We start from the raw sequence: 21956 nt of genomic DNA on the forward strand, positions 1-21956 counted from the left end.
CACTTTGGGAAGCTGAGGCAGGAGGATCGTTTGAGCTCAGGAGTTGGAGACCAGCCTGGACAGTATGGCAAAACCCGTCTCTACAAAAAATACAAAAATTAGGTGGCATGGTGGCAGGTGCCCGTAGTCCCAGCTACTCGGGAGGCTGAGGTGAGAGGATCACCTGAGCCCAAGAAGTCAAGGCTGCAGTGAGCCAAGATCGCACCACTGCACTCCAGCTTGGGCGACGGCCAGAGTGAGACCATGCCTTCATTTAAAAAATGAAAAGAAAAAAGAAGTGAAAGTAGTGGCAGCTAAATGTTTTCTAAAGCCGACAGTGGGGAAAAAACACCCCGAAGATTTTGGGATTCCCTCTAGATTGCACCACCAGCCCACCAGAGGCCAGGAGGGAGTGAAACAGATCTCACAGTGAAACAGATCATTGCAGCATAGCAACCTCAGAGAGACAAAAGCAAGAGACACAGGTGTCCCAGAGCCTTGCTTCACTTGTTTCTCCAAACATGCCAACAGGCCCTCGGGGTCAATGCAATGGCATCATCATCTTCAGCACCGTCACAATTCAGTGGATGCCTTCAGGATTCAGAAGCCCGAGAGGTCACAAATCAGCATCTGAACAAACACTGAGTTGAAGTTCTCAAGCGTGTTGTGGCACATCCATGCCCTACTCCCTGGAGCCTGATATAGGGAGGCTCCTTATATGTAACCTGTGAATGTGACTCCCCGTGAAAGGAAAAAAGGGGTCTTTGCAGATGTGATTGACTAAGGATCTTGCGATGGGGAGATCATCCTGGATCCTCCAGGTATGACCTAAATGCATATGTATCCCTATAACAGAGAAGAGGCAGATTCGACACACAGAGTAGAAGGCAACCTGAAGATGGAGCAGGGAAACACTGAAAACTCCTGCCTTGGAGCAATGCAGCTGCAGCCAGGGAATGCCGGGAACGAACCACAAAACCTGGAGGAGGAAGGAAACAGATCTTTCCCCAGGGCCTCCAGAGGGAGCATAGCCCTGGCGACACCTTGATTTTGGCCCAGTGATACTGACTTCAGACTCCTGTGCTCCAGAACTATAAGAGAACACAGTTCTGTGGTTTTAAGCCACCAGGTTTGGGGAGATTTGTTACAGTAGCCACAGGAAACTAACACACAGGTCCATATAATTTCCCTCTCCTCCCTCCCTTAGCCAACATTCACAAAGATAACTTGATACGTGTTAGGGGCCATGAAGGGTGCAGAGACTAATAAGGTCCCAGTGAGAGTGATGGACGTGGCGTAGGGGGCTGTGCCTTGAACACGTTGGGTCATGTGATGTGGCAGAGCCAGGCACAAGCATCTTCCCCCAGAGGGGGGGCCATCTGGGAAGGCTTTTCTGAGCAGGTGAGGTTTGCATTCAGCCCTGAAGGGTGTTGCTGGATTCTGACAGGTCAAGGTGGGAAGCTATTCAAGAATGATGAAGGAACTGATGGGTGAGAGTCCAAGGTGTGCTGGGCACCAGACAGCAGTCAGGGTTGGGGAGGCTGGGAGAGGAGGCCAGAAAGGCAAGTTGAGGCCAACCACGGTGAGGCCTGACAGCCCAGGGCCCCTGCTCTGCCAAAAGGTGGGCCCTCTCTGTTCTGTGGGACAGTGCCGGGGGTAGTGTCTGCAAAAACAATGTCCACAGGCCACCCAAGAAACAGATTTGGAAATTTTGTTGGAAACAAGAGTCCCAAAGACCTGACCCTGTTTGGCCATTGAGAAACAGGAACTAAGGGCTGTGCGGCTGAGCTTGGAATCCCAGCCCTGACGCCAGGCATGGCACTGAATAAATGCTGGGAGATGCATGAGAAGAGACAGCAAGGAGGCTGGGGCAAGAGGAGAAAGAGGAAAAGACGGAGGAAGAGGAGACAGAGAGATGCAGAAGGAAAGAATGGAGGGAGAGAGAGAAGGAAGAAGTCATGGGCTCCCAGGCAGCAGGCTCCTCTGCCGAAGTGCTTGTTTCCTCCCTCCACACTCGTGCACCCTCCTCTGTGCCCAAGGACAGAGTCCCATGGGGCCCTGGGGCTGCCCCTGTCCAGCTGCTGCCAGGCTTGGTGAAGCTGTGCCCCTGCTCGGGCCTGTGATTCCTGCTGCCCTGTTAATGGGCAAAGAGTCGCCATCCATTCCCACTGGAGGCTCTGCCAGGCCTGCAGCCATCTGTGTCTTGAGCCTGGTAATTAGGGCTGGAGGAATCCTGGTGGCCAGAGGGCAGGCTCTGTTTGGATAAACTTGGCAAAGTTCAGCTGCTTCTCTGAACTCAGCCTCTTTGGGGTTTCCAGTGGGGGGCTGAGAGGACCGGCTGGGTGGCCTCAGCTTCACCACTGACATGCTCTCAGAACAGGTTCCGGGGCTGTCCCTGTCCCTCTGTCATCACAGATAAGCTGGAGTTGACTGATTCAGAGAGCACACCCAGGCAGCCCAGGGCACAGGAAGAAGTGCCTCCCTGGGTGTGGGGAGTGCTGGGAGGGAGGTAGAAGGGGCCAAAGACTGGGGTTCAAGTCCTCCTCCTGCAAGCTGCACAGCCCCCCGGAAATTCCCTGGCTTCTCCGGGGCTTCTCTGGCCCTTTTGGAAAACAGGGATTACTCTCCTAACCCTGCCCCCCTTGCAGGACTGTTGCGTCATAGCACTCAGGGGAAGTCCGTGTTCTATAAGGCACTACATAAATGCGACGGGCCATCCATGGACGCGGCTTGGGGTCCATCTCCCAAGGCCGCCTGGACGTGCTAAAGGTTGGAAAATGAGGAGCCGGTGGGGCGGGGCAAGGGGAAGGGTGGTGTGTGTCCCACCACCTCTGTGATCTGCCACAGGTCCATCCTTGCAGCAGACCAAAGTTTTGCAGGCAGGAACCTGGCAGGCCTCCCTGGCATTGGCAAGGCCCAGGACAAGAGTACACACGGAGGCCGTTTCCCATGTGTCTCATATTTAAAAGTCATCAATCAAGCTAGCAAATCGTTAAATGAAATATGCTCCATCCTCCTACCTTGTTAAATACATCTTCGAAACAACCTGGAAGGCCAGGATCGAATGTAGAATTCTGGGCCTTCTGGGCGTTCTGTGCCAGGATGTGGCCATAGGGGAGCCAGCCTAGCTAAGATCCGTCCTGCTGAGCTCCCCACCCTGGGATCCTCATCACCACGTGGGGCCTTGCACACGCATGTGTGGACACCCAGCCCGCACATCCAAGCTCCGTCCACACTCTCGACAGAGAGCCGGGCCTCAGGCCCAGGGATGCACACACCAGTGACATGGGCTGGCTTTAGGAGGATGGCCCGGGGGAAGAGACTTGGGCCTATTTGGGTGGGACTCCAGCATGAGCTAGAAAGAGGGGTGTGGTTATGTCCGTTTGGCCCTGCAGGCTCTCCCCAGTGCATGGGAGAGTGGGCAAGGCTTCAGCAGGGCTAAAGTGGGGCCCTCTAAGGGGTGGCTCCCTTATCTATTTATTTATTACATTATTATTTTTATTAATTGTTTTTGAGACAGGGTATCGCTCTGTCGCCCAGGCTGGAGTGCAGTGGCACGATCTTGGCTCACTGTAACCTCTGCTTTCTGGGTTCAAGCAATTCTCATGCCTTAGCCTCCCGAATAGCTGGGATTACAGGTGCATGCCACCACACCTGGCTAAGTTTTGTATTTTGTTTGTTTGTTTGTTTAGTAGAGACAGGGCTTCGCCATGTTGGCCAGGCTGGTCTCGAACTCCTGGCCTCAAGTGATCTGTCTGCCTCTGCCTCCCATGGTGCTGGGATTACAGGCATGAGCCACTGTGCCCGGCCCAGTCTGGCTTTTTTAGGTGCCCAGAGACAGTCAAGAGTGTGTGTTAGGAGGAGATAAGGCCCTTAGAGCCCCAGGCACTGAAACAAGCTGTGTTGCCCCCTGTAAATGACTCTACCTAAGAGAGAGCATGGTGACTATAGTCAGTAATAATGCATTGCATATTTCCAACAGCTAAAAGAGAGGTTTTTAATGGTTCTCACTACAAAGAAATGATGAACATCTGAGGTGAAGGGTATGTTAATTAGCCTGATTTGATCATTCCACAATGCATACACTGTCAAAACACCACACTGTACCCTATAGATACACTGAACTATTTGTCTATTAAAAATTAAATTAAATAAATAAAAACTTTTAGAAATAATTTTTAAAAGGAGACAATGCTAACTCATAAAAGATGTGTAACAACATCCAGTGGAGGCCCGATTTTCCTCCTGATTTTTAAAAACATCTTTCAAGAAAGAATACTCGGGTATTCCTGCTATGCTAATGCCCTTAACACCCAGACAGCCAGTACCGCTTGTCCCCACACCACCCCACAATGTAAGGAGACATGGCAGCCTCCTCTCCAGATGTTTTAAACTGACAATCACCGGCCTGGGGGGATCAGGTTCCAACGGCCACAGGGTGTTCAGTTTAGAATCAAATGACAAACCCACCATCCAACATCCCGTCTGTCCTGAACACATTATCCTCAACCCCAAGGAGTGAGGCCACCGCGAGCACCTCAGCGCCTTCTGCTTGTTCGTGTCACACGATTGTGTGGGAGAGAGGGCGGGGGCCGGGAGGGAGGGAAGGTTGGGGAGAAGGCTCGCTCCACACCGGCTGGGTGACCTGCAGCCAGCCCCTGCACCCTCTGTGTTCAGACTCTGTACGTGGCCAACAAGGCCTGTTTGAGTGACAGTCAAAGACCCTCCCCTCGCCCCCGGTGTCCTCCCTGGTGCCGCTGCTGGCTGGTCCAGGGCCCACTGCAGGCCCAGCTGCAGAGAGTGCAGACCTCTGCCTGATTTATTCAGGTCCGCTTCTCAGAAGCGTAGAGGTCACCCAGGCTGTTTGGGGGGGGATGTCCCCCCACCGAAACCCCGTCCGCTGCCTGCTGTGGAGACGCCGACAGTGCAAACTCACCAGGCACCATCCCTGTCAGCGTCGGTGCTGAGTAGCTGCCCTGTCCAGCGGGGGGGACGTGTGGAGGGTACCCGGGGAGGGTCGTGCTCGCCAAGTCACGGCCTGAGGAATCAAAGCAACAAATCACAGGGTGAGCATCTTCGCGGCCAGCCGCTCATGTCCACAGCTCCCTGGACGCTTCTGCACATTTGTCACGTTTGGACGCTGAACGGCAATGTGCCCCCAGCTCCCCCCTGTCGCTCACACGCTCTCACAAACACACATACACACACACACACACACACACACACACTCATGCACACACATCTCCAGCCACCCTCGCTCCACTCAGCAAGAACAGAGTCAGGGATGTGGCCTGTTCCTGGGAAATCAGAACCCCCTGCTTGGGGAGGCTAGGCAATGCAGGTGACAGCACGCCCCGACTCCAGCCAGCTCTCCCTACTCTCTACTCCCCAAGAATGGCTGGGACCTCTCCATCTCCACACTGTTGTTTCTGCTATGTCCTTTGTACAAAGTCCCCCTTCCTCCAACTGCACACAGCCTGCCACCACCTGCCTTCAAAGACCAGCTCAAATGCCTCCCTTCTCCTCTCCTCAACAGCCCCCCACAGTGAACAGGGGGCATATCTGCCTCAAACCTTATAGTCCCATATCTGGCCTAGTACTGAATTTTTCCTCCTTTGGCCTAGAGCTGTTTCTTCATTCAGTGAAGATGCAGGAAGCACCTCCCAGTGCCAAACACTGTTCTGGCCCTGGGACATGGAGGTTAAGGCCTCAGCCCTCAAGGCGTGCACACTCCCATGGGCGAGTGTCCAGCTCTTTCAGGCTGCTGTGCTTCTGACCATGAGTCCAGAGTGTCCATGTGTCTCTCAGCTGGGACACTGTCACCATCACTGATTGGCTCCATCACGCAGAGGAAAATTCAATTGCACAGTTTTGATGGGTGTGCATGTTGGGGTAGAGGCCAGGACCACATAAGGGGTGCTGCCAAACCTGCCTCCTGAAAGATGGGGGGCATTAGCCCAGTAGGAGGCTGCCTGGTACAAGTGCTCACATCCTACTTGGCTGCCTGGGATGGATAAGAGGATCGTGAGAGGGGAGGGAACTTGTCCAAAGATACTCGGCTGACCTGAGGCAAGGCTGGGACTGACAGTCTGCCCCCCTGCCCCCTGGGAGTGGATCCTTTCTTCAACGGTGGGTTGCTCTCAGGGTCATTTCTGAACCCCAACAGTTTCTGCTGCTGTTACACATGCTTTAAAACCTTGAACCCTAAAGCAAATGTTCAGAAGATCAGTGCCTCACCAAAGCACTCAAGAAGCCAGATAAAAATCTATAAAATGAACCCAGGGAAAGAAGGAGGAAGGAATCAACAAAATAAAAACAGAAAAGAATGAATTAGGGGCAGGCTGTGGTTCACGCCTGTAATCTCAGCACTTTGAAAGGCTGAGGTCAGGAGTTCAAGACCAGCCTGGCTAACATGGTGAAACTCTGTCTTTACTAAAAAATATATATATATAAATTAGCCAGGCGTCGTGGCACATGCCTGTGATCCCAGCTACTCGGGAGGCTGAGGCAGGAGAATCGCTTGAACCTAAGTGGTGTAGGTTGCAGTGAGCTGAGGTGGCACCACTGCACTTCAGCCTGAGAGACAGAGTGAGACTCCATTCACAAAAAGAAAAGAAAAGAATGAATTAGGAAACAGAAAAGCAGACAACAATACATCAGCCAATAATTGTTATTTGAAAAGAACAATAAAATAGACAAATCTATCAAGATTCAAAAAAAAAGCACAGATAATCAAGATAAAGGATGAGGAGACATTATAACCAGAGATGATATTTAAAAACATAAAGAAACACACTCCACATGAATGAATGTAGAAATCTCAACAAAAGGTACAATTTTCTAGGAAAATATGAATTGCCAAAAGTAATTCAAGAAGAGTCAGAGAATACCAACATCCCAATAATCTTAGAAGAAATAGAAAAAGTTTAAAAAAAAATAAGTGCCTCATCCATTTAGCTTCTTGGGAAAGTTTTTGTTTGTTATTCTTTTTGGCAAGTTCTTTAAACCTTCAAGAGACACATATCTCAGTTATTAAACTGTTCCCAGGATATATAAAACTAAGGAAATCTTCCCAATTCATTTCTCCAAGCTAGCATAATCCTGATCTAAAAATCTAACAAAGGCAGCACACAAAAAATTAAAGACTAGTCTCACAATTTGTTAATATACATGTAAAAAGTCTACTATCATACTGATTGGGCAATATTACAGAAAGAATAATATACCATGACCAAAAAAGTTTCATTCTATGTATGCAAGGATGGTTCAATATTAAAGCACTGTTCAGGACATCATATTAATGTATTAAAGGAAGAAAATCATATGATTATATAAAAGATATAGAAAAGGCATTGGCTAAAATTCAATATTAATTCCTTATGATACCTCTTAGTAAATAAGAATTGAAGTATACTTCCTTGTTCTTATATTGATACTAAATCTAAAGTTAATACCTTAAAAATACTTAATTGGTGAGATACTTAGAGAATTCCTGTTAATGTCAAGAACATGTCAAGGAAACCTATTATCAATGTTATCACTGAAAATTGTTCTGAAAGTTTTAGCCAGTACAATACGATAAGACAGAGACATAAGAGGAATAAGCACTGGGGGGCAGGGGGAAACCCAAGATTATAATCAGCTGGATAAATCTTAGGCTTGGGAAATCATAAGAAAATTGGCTCATCTCCTAGAACCAATGGAAAATTTCGGTGAAATAGCCAGGTAATGGACTGTGTCGACTCCAGCCTTGTGCAGGACTTGAGCAACCACCATGCTGGGGACTCATTCCATTCTCAGGTCCCCCTCTCCCAGCCCACCAGGATGGCAGTATGTGCTCAGAGGAGCTGGCACATGGCCGCATGCACTCTACACATCACTCTGCCTCCGAGTTCCCATCACAGAGGGGCTCCTTTGCCTTGTCCACGGCTCCAGTTTTACGCAGGCACAGTCCCCAGAACCAGAGGCTTCACCTGTAGCTGTGCTTACTCTCCTTGGACTAGCCATGAAAACAAAGGGCCTGGGTTGTTCCTTGCAAGGAAGGGAGAGAAGCTGACAGCTTTCTGTGTCCTCTCAACCTCCTGAATTGCTCCAGTGTTCCAGGCACTGGTATGGGCTGTTGAGCAGCATTATTCCACTGAAACCTCATAGCTTACAAAATTCCCAGCATAAACCTGATGACACTGTGTGGGGAGGTCTCGGGGAGGCTGCAGCTCACCAGAGAAAGGAAGACAGCAGAGCACAGTGACGAAGCATGTCAAGTCTGCCCAGGCTCACACCCTTGATTTGCCACTTATTAGCTGTGTGACCTTGAGAGAGTCCCTTAGTCATTCTGAGCCTCGATTTCCTTATCTATAAAATGGGGAGGATAATAGCCAGCGCTTACGGAGAGTAAACTGTGAGTGAGGCACACACATTCTCACTTATTCCTCACAATAGCCCTATTAGAGAGCTACTATGATCCCTATTTTACTGAGGGGGAAACTGAGGCACAGAGCATTTAAGTGACTTGCTCACAGTCACACAGCTAGAATATTAAAAAGCAAGGTTTCAAACCCAGCCAGTCTGGCTTGCAAGCCTGCCCTCTCCACCCCTGCCCTGTGCCATCTCTGCAACCACACAGAAGCATGCCTTCTTCATAAGGCTGTGGTAAGGAGGCAGAGGGAAGATGTGTGAGAAGCGCATGGCACAGTGTGGAAGGTAATTCTTCACCCCACCCTCACCACCATCAGCTTGAAAAAGAAATAGTAATTTAACACCAAAAAGTAGGAAGGACATATATTAAACTGGTTTTTAAAACCAAATAAATTCAGTTTTATGAAAAAACAAAAGGAACCCTTTGCAGCTCTTCCTGCTAGAGCACAGTGGCCTCCTCTGACCCTTAAATTTAGGTTCAGCCGTGTGCCTTGCTCTGGCCAATGGGATGGGAGCACTCGGCAAGCAGAAGCTTGATGTGTGCTTGTGTGGCTGGGTGCCCTTCTCCCTTATCCTGAGAATATGTCCTGGCTAGCCTGCAGGTCCAAGGAGAGGGGGCACATGTGGAGCAGAGATGGACCCAAACTGTGACTGGAACCCAGCCCAGCCTGGTGCAGCCAATCCCCAGCCGACCCCAAGTGCACTAGCAAGAATAAACGATTACTGTGTTAAGACCTGAGTTTGGGGGGCATTTGCTAAGCAGCAATGTGGTGGCAATTGCTGATTGACAAAGATTTAATAAATGTCATCACTGTTCTCTACTTAAAAGCTTGCTGCCTGGAACCTCTAAGAACACGTATCAAATTCCAGGCAGAGGCTGATCCCCACGCCTGGTTGGGGAACCCAGTCTTATGAATTCAAGCCTCAGATCTGCTCTGAGGCCCATCAGAACTCTCCCGGCACCAAGCTGAGGAGTCTGTGACCTTGGAGGACACAGGCAGTTTCACCTTCTCAGTCCCTTCCCTAACATGTCTTAGGCATGTCGCCAGGGTTGGGGTTTACAACCTGTCAACACAAGGCAGCTAAGGAGATGCTACTCCCCCTTCTTAGCTCTAATTCAAGCCTCTGGACTGGGATGGGAAACCAGATTTAATGCTTCTAAACATGCTATGACCTCAAAGCACACATTTCTTTCATTTTTTTTTAACCAAGGAAGAAATTATTTGTATCATTTGCAATGGCACTGAATGTTATTGATGGCCTATAATAAGTTTGCAAATAACTAACTAAAATGAATCAATTTGCATTCCTAACATAATTCCTCCTATTAATGGCACGTAAGTACATCTTTTCTAACTCATGCGTGGCCTTCTCTTACCAGGGAGAATAACCAAGACTTGGCTTTGCTTACTATCAGCAAGGAGTCCAGGCAGAACAGTGAAACTCAACACAAAGGCCACTCCTCCAGAAGAGACACATTTGGTTTGAAATAACTCACTCTTTGCAATCCTGAGAGGAAGGGGAAGAACAGGGATCTGCCCCTGTTGTATACATGAGGAAACTGAGGCTCAGGGATGAGTTTTGACTGGCCCAAAGTCACAGAGTAAGCGGTAGAACAGGGACTTCAATTCAGATCTCATGATTTCTACTTAAATGCTATTATTGTAGGATTATTAAAAATGTTTCCCCTCGAGGGGACTAGCCCTCCCAGATGCTAAAACATTCTATGAAGTCTTTATAATTAATATTGTGATACCAGCACCTGAAGAAAAAACCAATGGAATAGAATGAAAAATTTAAACAAAGGCTCAAAAGATCCAATCCATATTGGATTATGGACCCAATAATCCAATGCATAGATTATATGGAAATCTAGCATACGATGAAGGTAGGATCTCGAATCACTGGGGCAAATATGGACTTTTTATAAATGGTGTTAGGACAACTGGAAAGCCATCTGGGAAAAAAGATAAAATAGATCAACTCTTCCCACCATATATAAGAATAAACTACAAATAGAACTGAGAAATAAATGTAAAAAAATAAAACTCTACAAGTACTAGAAGAAAATACAGGTGAATTCCTCTCTAATCCAGGTGCAGAAAGACTTTCTAACTATGATTTGAAACCAGATGCACACACACTACAAAAATTAACTCAAAAATGAATCAAAGACCTAAATGTAGGAGTTAAAAGTACAAAATTCTTAGAAGGAAATATGGGCATAAATCTCCATGACCCTGGATTCGGCAATAGTTTATTGGATATGACACAAACAAAAAAATAGATACACTGGACTTCATCAAAATTAAAAGCTTTTGTGCTTCAAAGGATACTACCAAGAAAGTGAAAAAATGACCCATAGAATGGGAGAAAATATTTGCAAATCATATGTCTGATAAAGGACTTGTATCTAGAATATATAAAGAACTCTTGCAGCTCAATAATAGACAAATAATCCAATTTTAAAATGAGCAAAGCAACTGAATAGGCATTTGTCTAAAGAAGAATAAATGAAATGGCTAACAAGCACATGAAAAGATGTTCAACATCATTAGCTCTCAGGGAAATGCAAATCCAAACCACAATAAAACACCACTTCATACCCACTGGGAAGGTCACAGTCAAAAAGACATATTGTCACAATCATTGGCAAAGATGGGGAAAATCGGAACCCTCAAACACTGCTGGTAGGAATGTAAAATGGTACAGCTGCTTTGGAAAAGTCTGGCAGTTCTTAGACATCGAGTTACCACGTGACCCAGCAATTCCCACTCCTAGGTGTACACCCCAGAGAAATAAGAACGTATGTCCACATAAAAACTTGTACACAAATGTTGGTGGCAGCATTATTCATGATAGCCAAAAAGTGGAAACAGCTCAGATATCCATCAATTGATGAATGCATAACGAAAATGTAGTATGTCCATACAATGGAATATTTGGCAATAAAACAGAGTGAAATACCAATACATACTACAGTAGCAACATTCATAATGAACTTGAAATGACTATGCTACGTGAAAGAAGCCAGTCACAAAAGACTATGTATTGTGTGAATATATTCATACAAATGTCCAAGATAGGCAAATCTACCGACAAAAGGTAGATTCGTGATTGCCTAGGGCTGGGGCTGGGAAATGCTCAACAGGCAAAGACATGAAGGGAAGATATAAAGTCTCAGGCTGCATCTGGGGAGAGGGCAGGCTGGGCAGAGGCACGCTATGGCTGACGCTGGTGGAAGACCTGGCATCCAGAGGGCAGACCTGACCCCAGGGAGGAGACCTCCAGGCAGCTCTGCAGGCGGCAGGCTTGAGGGGGCATGAAGCCACCCACATCTGCTCTCCCTTTCACACAGGCTCCCCCGTTGCCTCCAGAGCCAAATCTAGGCCCCTGAGCCTTGCAGGGAGGGGTGGAGTTTGGAGTCACACAGGCCTGGCTTCAAATCTTAGCTCCACCACTTACTCGCTGTGTGACCTCTGGCAGGTAATACAACGATCTGAGCATGGGGCTTTCTTTGATAATTGGAAAAAGAGGGTATTTATTGGGAGTGTAACAATGGTACTCTCTGTAACAGGATTAAAACATGTCTGCAAATTCTTTGTTACTCTTCTCATGGAGAAGTGAGGTCTATGATCCTTTACCCTGAACCTGGGCCCCCTTGGTGACTGGTCAACCCACAGAGCTCCAGCCTCCTTGGAGTTCCCACAAGCCAGGCCCTGGCCAGGCACTTCCATGTCTTAACCTCATTCAATACAAGAACCCCATAAGGTTGCGGTTATAATCCCCATTTTACAAATGAGGAAATGAAGGCTCCCAAGCAGTTGATGTACCCAAGGTTGCACGGCTGATAATAATAACAATAACAGCTAATATTTTTGTAGAATTTACTGTATGCCAGACAAGGCTCTACACTAAGCAGTGTTCTAAACAATATTCACTCTGCTTTGTAAATATAGATTCATTTCATCCTCAAAAACTCTGTAAGGTGAACCCTATTGTTATCCCCATTTTACAGATGTGGAAACTAAAACACAGCGAGATTAGGCACCTGCCCAAGTTCCCACAGCTAGTCACAAATGGACCCTTATCCAAACGGAGGCGTTCTGGCACCAGATGCCTTCACAATCCCCCAGCATTGGGCACCCATCCTTCTCCTGCTTCTAGACTGGAAGTCCCCAGAGATCAAGAACTGCTCTCATTCCTGTTTCCCTTGCACTGGCCTGGCACACAGTAGGTACTCAGAAAACGTTTGCCAAGATGAAATTAATCATATGACATTGGGTCTGCTCTTCTGAAGGAACTATGCTTCTCTTCGCATCAGCGTCTCAGAAAGCCCTTCATCACGAACTCCACAAAATAACCAGGCCTGATTGATCAGTTTTTGCTTAGACGCAACTTTTTCTTTTTCTTTTTCATAGAGCCCATTTCTAGGTAGGCTCTCTCTATGTACACTAACGGGGGGGGGGGGAATGTGAATCCAATTAACTTCAAATTTAGCTCATAATGAACTTATCTCATTTTGCTACCAGCTCGGTTCTCATCGTGTGGCAGTAATTAACCACTGGGGGTTGTCACTCCCAGACACATGACACAGAAATCCTCCCAGTCCTTCGCTTCAAACCCTTGCAGAATTCATTACCCTGACAGTGTGAAAACCCTTCACTTTGAATACCATAGGGCACCAACCAAACTCCCCCTCCATCTACCTGACTGTGTGTGTGAGTGAGAGAAAGAAGGAAGCAAGCCATCGAGCAGCCATTAATTATTGTGAACAAGATGAGAGGTGGGGGCGGGATCCTGGTGATGGCTTGATGGCCCGAGAGGGTCTGCCAGCCTTGACAGCCCTGGGGCAAGAGGTCCTGCCCAGAGGAGGGAGATCTTAGCATACAAGGCCCAAACTATAAGGGAATATGGGGGAACTGGCTGGGAAAGGCAGAGCTCTTTGCGAACTGGCAACTCTGTCTGCTGGGGACTCCTAAGGTCCAGGAAGCCTGCACACTCCAGGCAACACGGATTGCTGTGTGACCTCAGGTAAACTTCACCCCCTCTCTGGGCCTTGGTTTCTGGGCCTTGGTTATCTGAATACTCAAGCAGTGGGAACAGATGGCCTCTGAGGGTTTTTTCCACAGTAACATTCCATAAGTCGGTGGCATCATTTCACCCCCATGTTGATGGAAAAGAAGGTGGGTATCAATTCCTACAGAGACAGATATGGCAGTGCCTGCTCGCTGTGGCCTCCACACTCTTGCCCACAGCATCAGACTTCCTGGAGCCCCTGAATTAAACCCGAGTGAAAGGAGGATAAGCATAAGGCACTTACAGAAGGAGATGGGAGTGGTCAGTCTGCAAATGAAATAAAATCTTCATTTTAGGCTGGGCGCAGTGGCTCACACTTGTAATCCCAGAACTTTGGGAGGCCAAGGCAGGAGGATCACCTGAGGTCAGGAGTTTGAGACCAGCCTGTACAACATGGCGAAACCCCATCTCTACTAAGAATACAAAAATTAGCTGGGCATGGTGGTGCACGCCTGTAGTCCCAGCTACTCAGGAGGCTGAGGCAGGAGAATTGCTTGAACTTGGGAGGTGGAGGTTGCAGTGAGCCGAGATTGCGCCACTGCACTCCGGCCTGGGCGACAGAGCGCAACTTCATCTCCAAAAAAACAAAAAAAAACTTCATTTTACATATTGTTCACTTTATATTTGTACAAGAGTTATGCTTTTAACTTTTTCTGAAGTATATTTTGACACCTGTTGTAGGAAAAGGTGAACAATGCCAAAGACAATGACATGAGCTGAAGATTTTCAACAAACCCCGAAGCAGATGACAGTGAACAAGTGCCACCTTAGGGAGAGGGGGAGAAACAGCTCAATACCCAGGACGTGGGGCGGGGATTCATCCTGCTACGCACACGTCGGTGCGTGTGTACACGTAGTGCATACGCCGCCAGGCTTATTCGTTCCAGCTGGTGTTGGAAATGTGTGGCAGTTTGAACAGGGTTGCTCTGGAGTCTCCCTTTGTCCAGACCTGCCACTAGTGGAGGGTATGCTGCTGACGGTAGATGCAGAGGGGGAATATTTCACCCGGAGGGGAAGGGCAGTGGGAATGGTGATGTAACAGCCTACCTCTGCCTGCAGACAATGGATGTGCTAATTGCAGATGAGCTGTATCCAGTCATTAAAGCGGATCTGGCAGGCTCCTAATGACAGGTTTATTAGCCATTAGTTTGGGTGGTGTTATTGACTTAGGAATAGTAACCCTCAATTTCTTTTCCCAAAATTACCTAATCCCCACTTTTAACTAATTCTGACTGACCTCCTTCTAATTGCCCTGGCTAAAGATCTAATCTGGATTTGTAGAGCCAGGAAGACAATCTCAGAATCCACTAACCAGGGAGCTGTTTACTTTGCTAACCCTCCTCACTCCTTCCTCTGAATTGACCGCACCCACCTCCCTGGAATCTCTGGAACTATCACACTCCAATACTGTGTTTCAATTTTGGAAGCGTGTTTGAATTTCACCTGCCTGGCATTTTAGAGCAGACACTGGGACTCAGTCTATATTTCCATGCACATGTATGACACCAGCCCCCGGAACCAGCAACTGTTGAGCCAACTTAATGAAATGACAAAGTCAGGGTTCTAATTAGGAAAGCAGCAAAGCAGCTCTACCACACTGATGGCTCTGGGCCTCCCTGCCACGACGGGGACTGCTCCAGAGACAGGAGGAAGGCAGTATTTATGGCGCAAGGATTCCCAGGGCAAAGTGGGCTAGCTCGTGACTTTATTCATTCGTTCACTCATTCATGCATTATCTGACACTAAGTTCTAAACACTGTCCTGAGTGCTCTAAAGGATGCAAAGATGATAACAGTAACAATAACAACCAAAACAACAGCAACTATCCTTTACACAGCTCTTAGCGCCAAGCATTGTTCTAAGCACTTTGTATGTATTATCTCATTTAAGTACCGCAGCCACTCCAGGAGATATCATCAAGCTTTACAATCCCCAGTTTGCAGATAAGGTACTCAGCTCTTAAGAGGTGAGCTGGATGCAGGCTGAGGCTGACTTCAGAGCCAGTCACTCCTGCCTCACACACACGATTGTTTCAGTAGGTGAATCACAGAATACAAAATGCACGCTCCCCTGTGACCAGTCAGCTTCTAGGACTTCACCTATGGAAACACACAGAAAAATACACCAAGATATTTCATGGGAAGGAAGGAAGGCAGCAATCCTTATTGCTGGGATAAATAAATTATGATACTTGCCTGTGGTGGAATATTTATTATACAGTTTTGAGAAACAATGAGGTAGATTTGATTGTGGAAATTGTGGAGCGATCTCCAAGGGAAACTACTAAGTGAACAGGCAAGTGTGGAAGAACACTGTGTACAGTATAATTCCATCTGTGCTAGTAAAAAGAGGATAAAATCTGGAGGCGGATAGAGGAATTAAAATGTTACTGAAAATATACAGAAGACACTGTTAACTTTGGGGAGAGGGATTACAGATGGGAGGGCTTAGGTTGGGAGTGGGAGATTTATTTTTCATTTTCTATTTTTCTGTATGGCTTGAATATTTAACCACATGTGTGTATTACTTTTTATTCCAAATTAACTTTTTGAGTTAAAATTAATGTTTTCTTAAAACTAAACACAGTCCGTGCCCAAGGGGCTCACTCACACTCTAGAAGAAGAGATAATAATGAACCAAGATGTATGAAGTGCAGTTGCCCCCTGCCCCCACTGCAGCCGCTCTCAGGCCAGTGTCATGGCAGGAACTTCTCGCGTTCAAGGACAGCATCACGATGCCAGCAGCACCTTGGCCAAGTTGCATACTCAGAGCTCATGTCCCCACCAGGCCTCTCCCAGGCTGGCATCCAGACCTCTGTGGTGGCCTGCCCTACCGATCTGAAATGCACCATGAACAATCCCAGCCCCTGCAATCCGGCTATGAGTAGCCAAAAGTGGGCACAAAGCCTGTCCCTAAATCCTTCCTGGCACCAACTCTGGAAGGCTGGGAGGGACTTAGGGACAGGCTTTTTGCCCACTTTCATTTGCACATAGTTCCGACGAGCTCAGTGGCTTGGCTTCCCAGCCCCCAGCAGATTAAAAACAGCAAAATTGGAAGGAAAGAGACTTCTATGGCTAGGAAACTGACATTAGGAAAAGTGACAGGTGGCAGGTGAGCAGCAAGGACAGAGACAGGAAAACAATATAATCAGACATAAGAAGCCCAAGCCGCGATAGTCTGGGGTACTTGGTGGAAGGATGAGCCGCCCACTTACAGACGTGCAGAGCCTTCGCTACTGTATCGGCGAGGTTCAGTAATGCTGGTTCCCAAAGATGAACCTTTGTCATCAGAGGACGGTGACGGTATGTCACTTCAACATGATATTATGCACCTCTTATCCAAGAAACTGATAGGACAAACCAGTGTTTGACAAACCTATGTAATCATAATTAGCATGTGGAGAGAGCCCAACTGTCCATCTGGGTCCAGAGTGGCTCCCTGGAGAGCCCTTGTGCAGTGCAAGGCAACAGAAAGACCTCCAGGAGGTTGGTTGCTGATCGAGACCCGCCACGCCCCCACTCCTGGTTTTGGTACATGCCTATATCAAGCCATCTCCAAACTGGCCGGTGAACATGGAAGACAAATCCAAAGACGCCTCATGTTTCAGAATCACAGAGTCCCGGGGCTGGTCCGAAACTTGGCGGCCACCCCATGTTCTCCTGCCCAGGGCTGGCAGTATTCCCATCACATGTTTGCCCAGCACCTCTTGCCCACCCTGGGTAGGAGCTGCTAATTCAGAACATACCTGTCAAATCTAATGGTTGGGAAAGTCTCCCTTCCTGGGAGATAGATTTTATGTAAACAAGATAATGGCTAAATGAAAAAATAGAATAAATACATGAAAGCACAGAAAGGATAGCATTCCCCAGACTGGCCTTCTGGATTTGGGGATGTGAAATCTTTGTAAAGGGGGCCATGTGGGATGGTAGGCAGTGTGCGATGGGACAAGAGCCACAGGGCTGGTGGTCTCCACTCAGATCCTGGCTCCACACTCACTGGCCATGTGATCTCCAGCAAGTCATTTCGCCTCTCTGTGTGTCAGGTTTTGCATTTATAAAATGAGGACGATCCTATCTTCCTCACAGTGCTGTCACATGGATTAAATTAACAAATACAGGTAAGGCCCCTAGCACAGGGCCCAGCACAGAGTGAACACTCAGTAAGGCCACCATTGTTAACCGTGCCTCCTGCGCTCCACAGCCACCCTCGGGCCATCCCAAAAGCAAAGCCAGATTGGGCTTGGAAAGCACAGCTCTGTTCACATCGAGCTGCTGTCAGAAATCCTCGATGGCTCCCCACTGCTTACACACACAGCTAAGAGCATGGGCTCTGAGGGCTCAAATCCCAGCTCTGCCACTTACCAGCCGTGTGACCTTGGGCAGGTGACCCCGCCTTCCTTTCCTCGTCTAAGGGAGGAGGAAGGGGAACCCCAACAGTCCTTCTCTGATGGAGTGGTGGCGAGGGCCGAGTGAGTGAGACAGCTCTGGGAACAAACATAGGCTGGTGCCCATGGCCCACTCACACTCGCTGCACCTCCCTACCACACGCTTTCATTTGTGCTAAACCTCTGCCAGCTCCGGGGTCCGAATAAAACATGTGGTCTAAATGCGGAAGACGAGAGGCGCAGAGGGAAGCAGGCCTGTGCACAAAGGTGGAGGCCTCTGGAGCGGTTCACCCCATGCCTGTGTGTGCCGCCGAATCCGCCGAATGCATGCGAGGTACATGAAGAATGGTGGCCAGCACTGGGATCTTTCTATTTGCCAGAAACTCTTCTAAATGCCTTACTTGCGTCACCTCATTTAGTCATCAGAACAATCGTATGAGGTAGAAATGATCACTATTATTATTGTCCTTGTTAAGAGGCTCAGCCTAGCGGTGAAGGGCAAAAGGTCTGGAGCAGATTCTTTGGATTAAAATTACTAGTTGTTCTATAACCTTGGGCAAGATTACACCTCAGTGTTCTCATTTATAAAATGGGGATAATGATACCTCCTTAGACTGCTTAAAAGGATTCAAGACTCAATGCATGTAAAGCACTTAGGAAGCCGCCTGGCCCATGTAAGTGCTCCCAAATGTCAGTTATTACCTCTGATGCCTGTTACTGCCACCAATGTACAGAGGAGGCAATGGAGGCTGAGAGAAGTGAAGTAACTTGCCCATGGTTGCACTGGCAGAAAATGTGACAGGTTGGGGGTTTCTAGGATTAGAAACCCTAGCAGTCTGTGCTCTTAACCACCAAGTTCCACTGGGCAAAAAGCCCCTCCTGGGGCTCAAATCTAAGATGTGTTTGCAATGAAATCAGGCATGGTGGGAGGGACCTACTGGATCTTTGAAGCTAAGGGGTAAGTTCAGGGCTGGGGGACCAAGTGCAAAGCCCATGGAGGTACAGCCAGCCCTGGACTAGGAGTCAGAAAACCCCGCACTTCCTCACTGTGCCCTCGGGCAGGTCCCCTCTCCTCTGTAAATGTCCTCACCTGTGCACCTGATGCCCAACCCCAGGCCACCCACCAGAGGGAGATCAGCTAATGCTGCAGAGACAGGAGGAATCCATAGTCATCGGCTTCTCTGCCCTTTGTCCAGGACCGGCTGACAGCTCATATTATTTTAAGAAAAAGTCAATAGGTAAGTATCCAAGCCTCTGATAGGCTTCTGATTTCTTGTAAAGGGACTGAGGCCCATCACGAATCCTAAACCAGTGCCTCAGCTGGTCCAGGGGGCAACGGGATAGTCGATGTCACAGTGCCAGGCTTGGAACCAAGAAAGTCCAAACAGACAACGCTGATATTTTGTAACGCCAGCTCCTACACCTCCAATTATTTCCTCAAACCAAGCAGCAAGGAGGCCCATACGAGACAGGCAGGCTGAGCAGGTGCACTGCTCGCCAAGGAAAACCAAGCCCATCCCACAGAGGCACCTCCCAGGGTGCACAGCAAATTAATGTGCTGCAGAGAACATGCATTAAATTGTGCTGCTAGGCTGGTGCTGCAGGCTACCAAAGTGCCAGCCCATCCCTCTCCAGCCCTCCCTTCCCTGAGAAGCAGATCAGGTGCCAGGGCCGAACTATCTCACAGAATCACCGGCTGCTTTTGCTAGCCACCAGCCTAGCTCAGGCTCTTGCTTGCAGGCCACTGCTGGTTCTGGGTCTCGGTTTCCACTTTGTAAAACATGATTGATCACCCCTGCCCTGCCTCCCTCATGGGTAATCAGAGCCCCAAATGGGATCACAGAAGTGAAAGTGCTTTGTACAGTGCAGGGGTAGGGACGCCACTAAACAGGGAACTCCATGTGGGGACAGGTACAAGAGCCAATCAGGCCTGGGTTCAATTTGTCCATAGATGGGGAAATTGAGGCTCCAAGAGGTGAAGGGTCCTGCGCAAGCTCTCACATGTAGCAAAGAGCAGATCTGAGATTCGGTTCCTGCAGTCAGACTGCAGACCTTCTGGAGGAGAAGGCACTGAAACAGGGCCTCAGTGTGTAGGGTTCCTTCAGGAGGACCTAGAAGGAGATTCGGGCTGAGTTGGGGCAGAGTGGGCAATGCAGTGGGCATCTGACTGCTGCCTCCTGTGAGCCTGGAATGGCAGATGTGCCTGGGACTCAGTCTGAGCTTCCTCGGGTCCAGGCAGCAGCTGTGGGTAAGGTGTGAGGGCTGTGGGCCCAGAGGTAGGAACCGAGCTGGGCTTAGCAGAGGACATGCGACTGTGAGCGGCCTTCACGCTGGCTGGAAAACCGCTGTGGAATCAGGGAGCACCGGAGCTCGAAGGATGCTAAAGTTCAACCAGTTTGGGGGAGGGGTCGATCTGTTCCCATGAGCCTCCAGGGGGACCTCAGGGACCTCTGGAGCTCCCATTCTTTCAACCAGTGAACCTCACTTCTAACTAGTTTACATCAGGCTTCCCAGGAAGATTCATCTGAATAAAGGTTTCTTCAAACACACACACACATACACACACAAGCAAGAAAAAAACAAAACCTTAACAGTTGCTAAAAAAAAAAAATCACTAAATGCCTATTCTGCAGGTGAGAAGAAGAAACTCCTGCAAGGGCAGGGTCTTGCCCAGAGGGCTGTGCACAGCCAGGTTTGGGTCCTGGACCCAGCATGGATCCTGATCCAGGTTTCCTTTCCCAGGTTTTCTCTGTTGCTTTCCTGCCCTTCCCTCTGTCTTCACAGAACACCTCTCAAGCTCAAGAAACTGATGCTCAATTTTCTTCCAGTAGTCCAGGGCGCTCATGTCCCTGATGACGAGAATTACAACACTTTCTTTTGTGAGTAGATCTAAGAATGCCAGCATCTTCTTGGGCTCTGCAGACTTGGCCAAAGTCAGCCGTGTCCCTGGAGCCCGGGAGATAGGGCTGAGCCATCCTTGAGCCTACTGGTCAGGGGCAACACACACAGAAATCCGACTTCACAGAATTTGACTCTAACTTTTTCCTTCTGTGCTACCAGCAAATGCCTGTGCCTCGATGAGCCTTGCTTTACAATCCTGAAAATGGGAACCATGCCCCTTGCTCTGCCTCCCATGGTTTGTTCCTGGGTTTGGAAATGGAGGATGGAAAGAGGGAAGGAAAGAGAATGAGAAAGAGGAACAAGGCAGTCTTCTGGTTAAAACAAAAGAAAAGAAAGAAAATAGAACATTCAAACGTGTAATCCAACTCAGCACGAGCTTTAGTTTTAAAGTTCCACAGGCCAGTGCTTGCCAGCCCAGCCCAGCCAACTGCATATTATTTATGCGGCCTCAGGCAGGTTAATTTCTGCTCCTCAGTTTTCTTGTCTACAAATTGGGGCTAGTGGCACTATCTTCACAGGGTTGTCTGAGGTCTGAGCCACATCACCTGGAGAAGGAGGCACGTGGGGTCTGCATTCACATGTGTAAAGGGCCTCTCTTCTTCCCTCTGGTCTCCGGGCCCCAGAACCCCAGCAACCCCTCCCATCACAGGCTCCTTCTGCCCCAGCCATCCCCACCAAATTGAAGCTCACCGGGCAGGAGGACTAGGAGAATTAAAACATGCAATCAAACAGCTTCTTGACGGGAAATGCTTTGGAAATTTTCGGCTCCATTTACTTCTCAATCTAATTTTGTCCTCGGATGCACATTATGCGCGAGATGGGATCTCATGTGGTTTGCCCGCTCTCCGAACACCAGCAGGAGGCACCCGGCGTCTTGATTGCAGCTCCCGGCTCTCCTCGCCACATGAGGGGGCATAATGAGGGCACCCAGCAGGCTCTGGGGGCGGCCCTGGGCAAGAAGGCCTGGCCCGGACATCCTGGCACCCACTGGCCCAGCCTCTCCCACTAACACCCCTGGGGCAGAGTCTGGGGGTGTCATCCACAGCCAACTCCAGCCGCACTGCAGACACCCATCGCCACCGCAGCCCAGCTGAACCCCTGCCTGGCTCCAGCCACCTCTGATCCATGGGACCCTGCACTCCTTGGCTCCCCATCACCTCTGGATGAAGTCCAGACCCCTCATGCCCTCTCCTCCTGC

General features: G+C 48.7%; 1 protein-coding gene and 1 non-coding gene across 14 annotated transcripts in view, besides 2 other annotated features; both read right to left on the reverse strand.

Annotated features, from left to right (window-relative positions):
* PAX5 (paired box 5) overlaps positions 1–21956 on the reverse strand; it is a 201000-nt gene that overhangs the window by 43820 nt on the left and 135224 nt on the right. For 7 of the 13 annotated variants that reach the window (NR_103999.2, NR_104000.2, NM_001280556.2 and 4 more), the window contains one exon: positions 4916–5017. The exons of the other annotated variants lie outside the window; for them this stretch is intronic. Coding sequence is in view for 5 of the 7 variants with exons in the window: in NM_001280556.2 (NP_001267485.1) it covers positions 4916–5017 (102 nt within the window). In the remaining 2 variants the exon portion in view is untranslated. The remainder of the gene's footprint in view (positions 1–4915; positions 5018–21956) is intronic. 13 annotated transcript variants of the gene reach the window in all.
* Positions 324–563: an enhancer, noted in NCBI's record as "active region_28358". NCBI's record gives its function as "activates an Ori minimal core promoter by ATAC-STARR-seq in GM12878 lymphoblastoid cells {active_cell/tissue: GM12878}" and the evidence as "EXISTENCE:reporter gene assay evidence [ECO:0000049][PMID:35858748]".
* Positions 2331–3027: an enhancer, noted in NCBI's record as "H3K4me1 hESC enhancer chr9:36879416-36880112 (GRCh37/hg19 assembly coordinates)". NCBI's record gives its function as "activates a minimal SCP1, AML or CMV promoter by ChIP-STARR-seq in primed H9 embryonic stem cells {active_cell/tissue: H9 hESC(primed)}" and the evidence as "EXISTENCE:reporter gene assay evidence [ECO:0000049][PMID:30033119]".
* Positions 16374–16443, reverse strand: MIR4476 (microRNA 4476). Its single transcript, NR_039687.1, has one exon. It is a non-coding gene; the product is annotated as a microRNA 4476 (primary transcript).

Source organism: Homo sapiens, chromosome 9 (assembly GCF_000001405.40).
Source record: "Homo sapiens chromosome 9, GRCh38.p14 Primary Assembly".
NCBI lineage: Eukaryota > Metazoa > Chordata > Mammalia > Primates > Hominidae > Homo > Homo sapiens.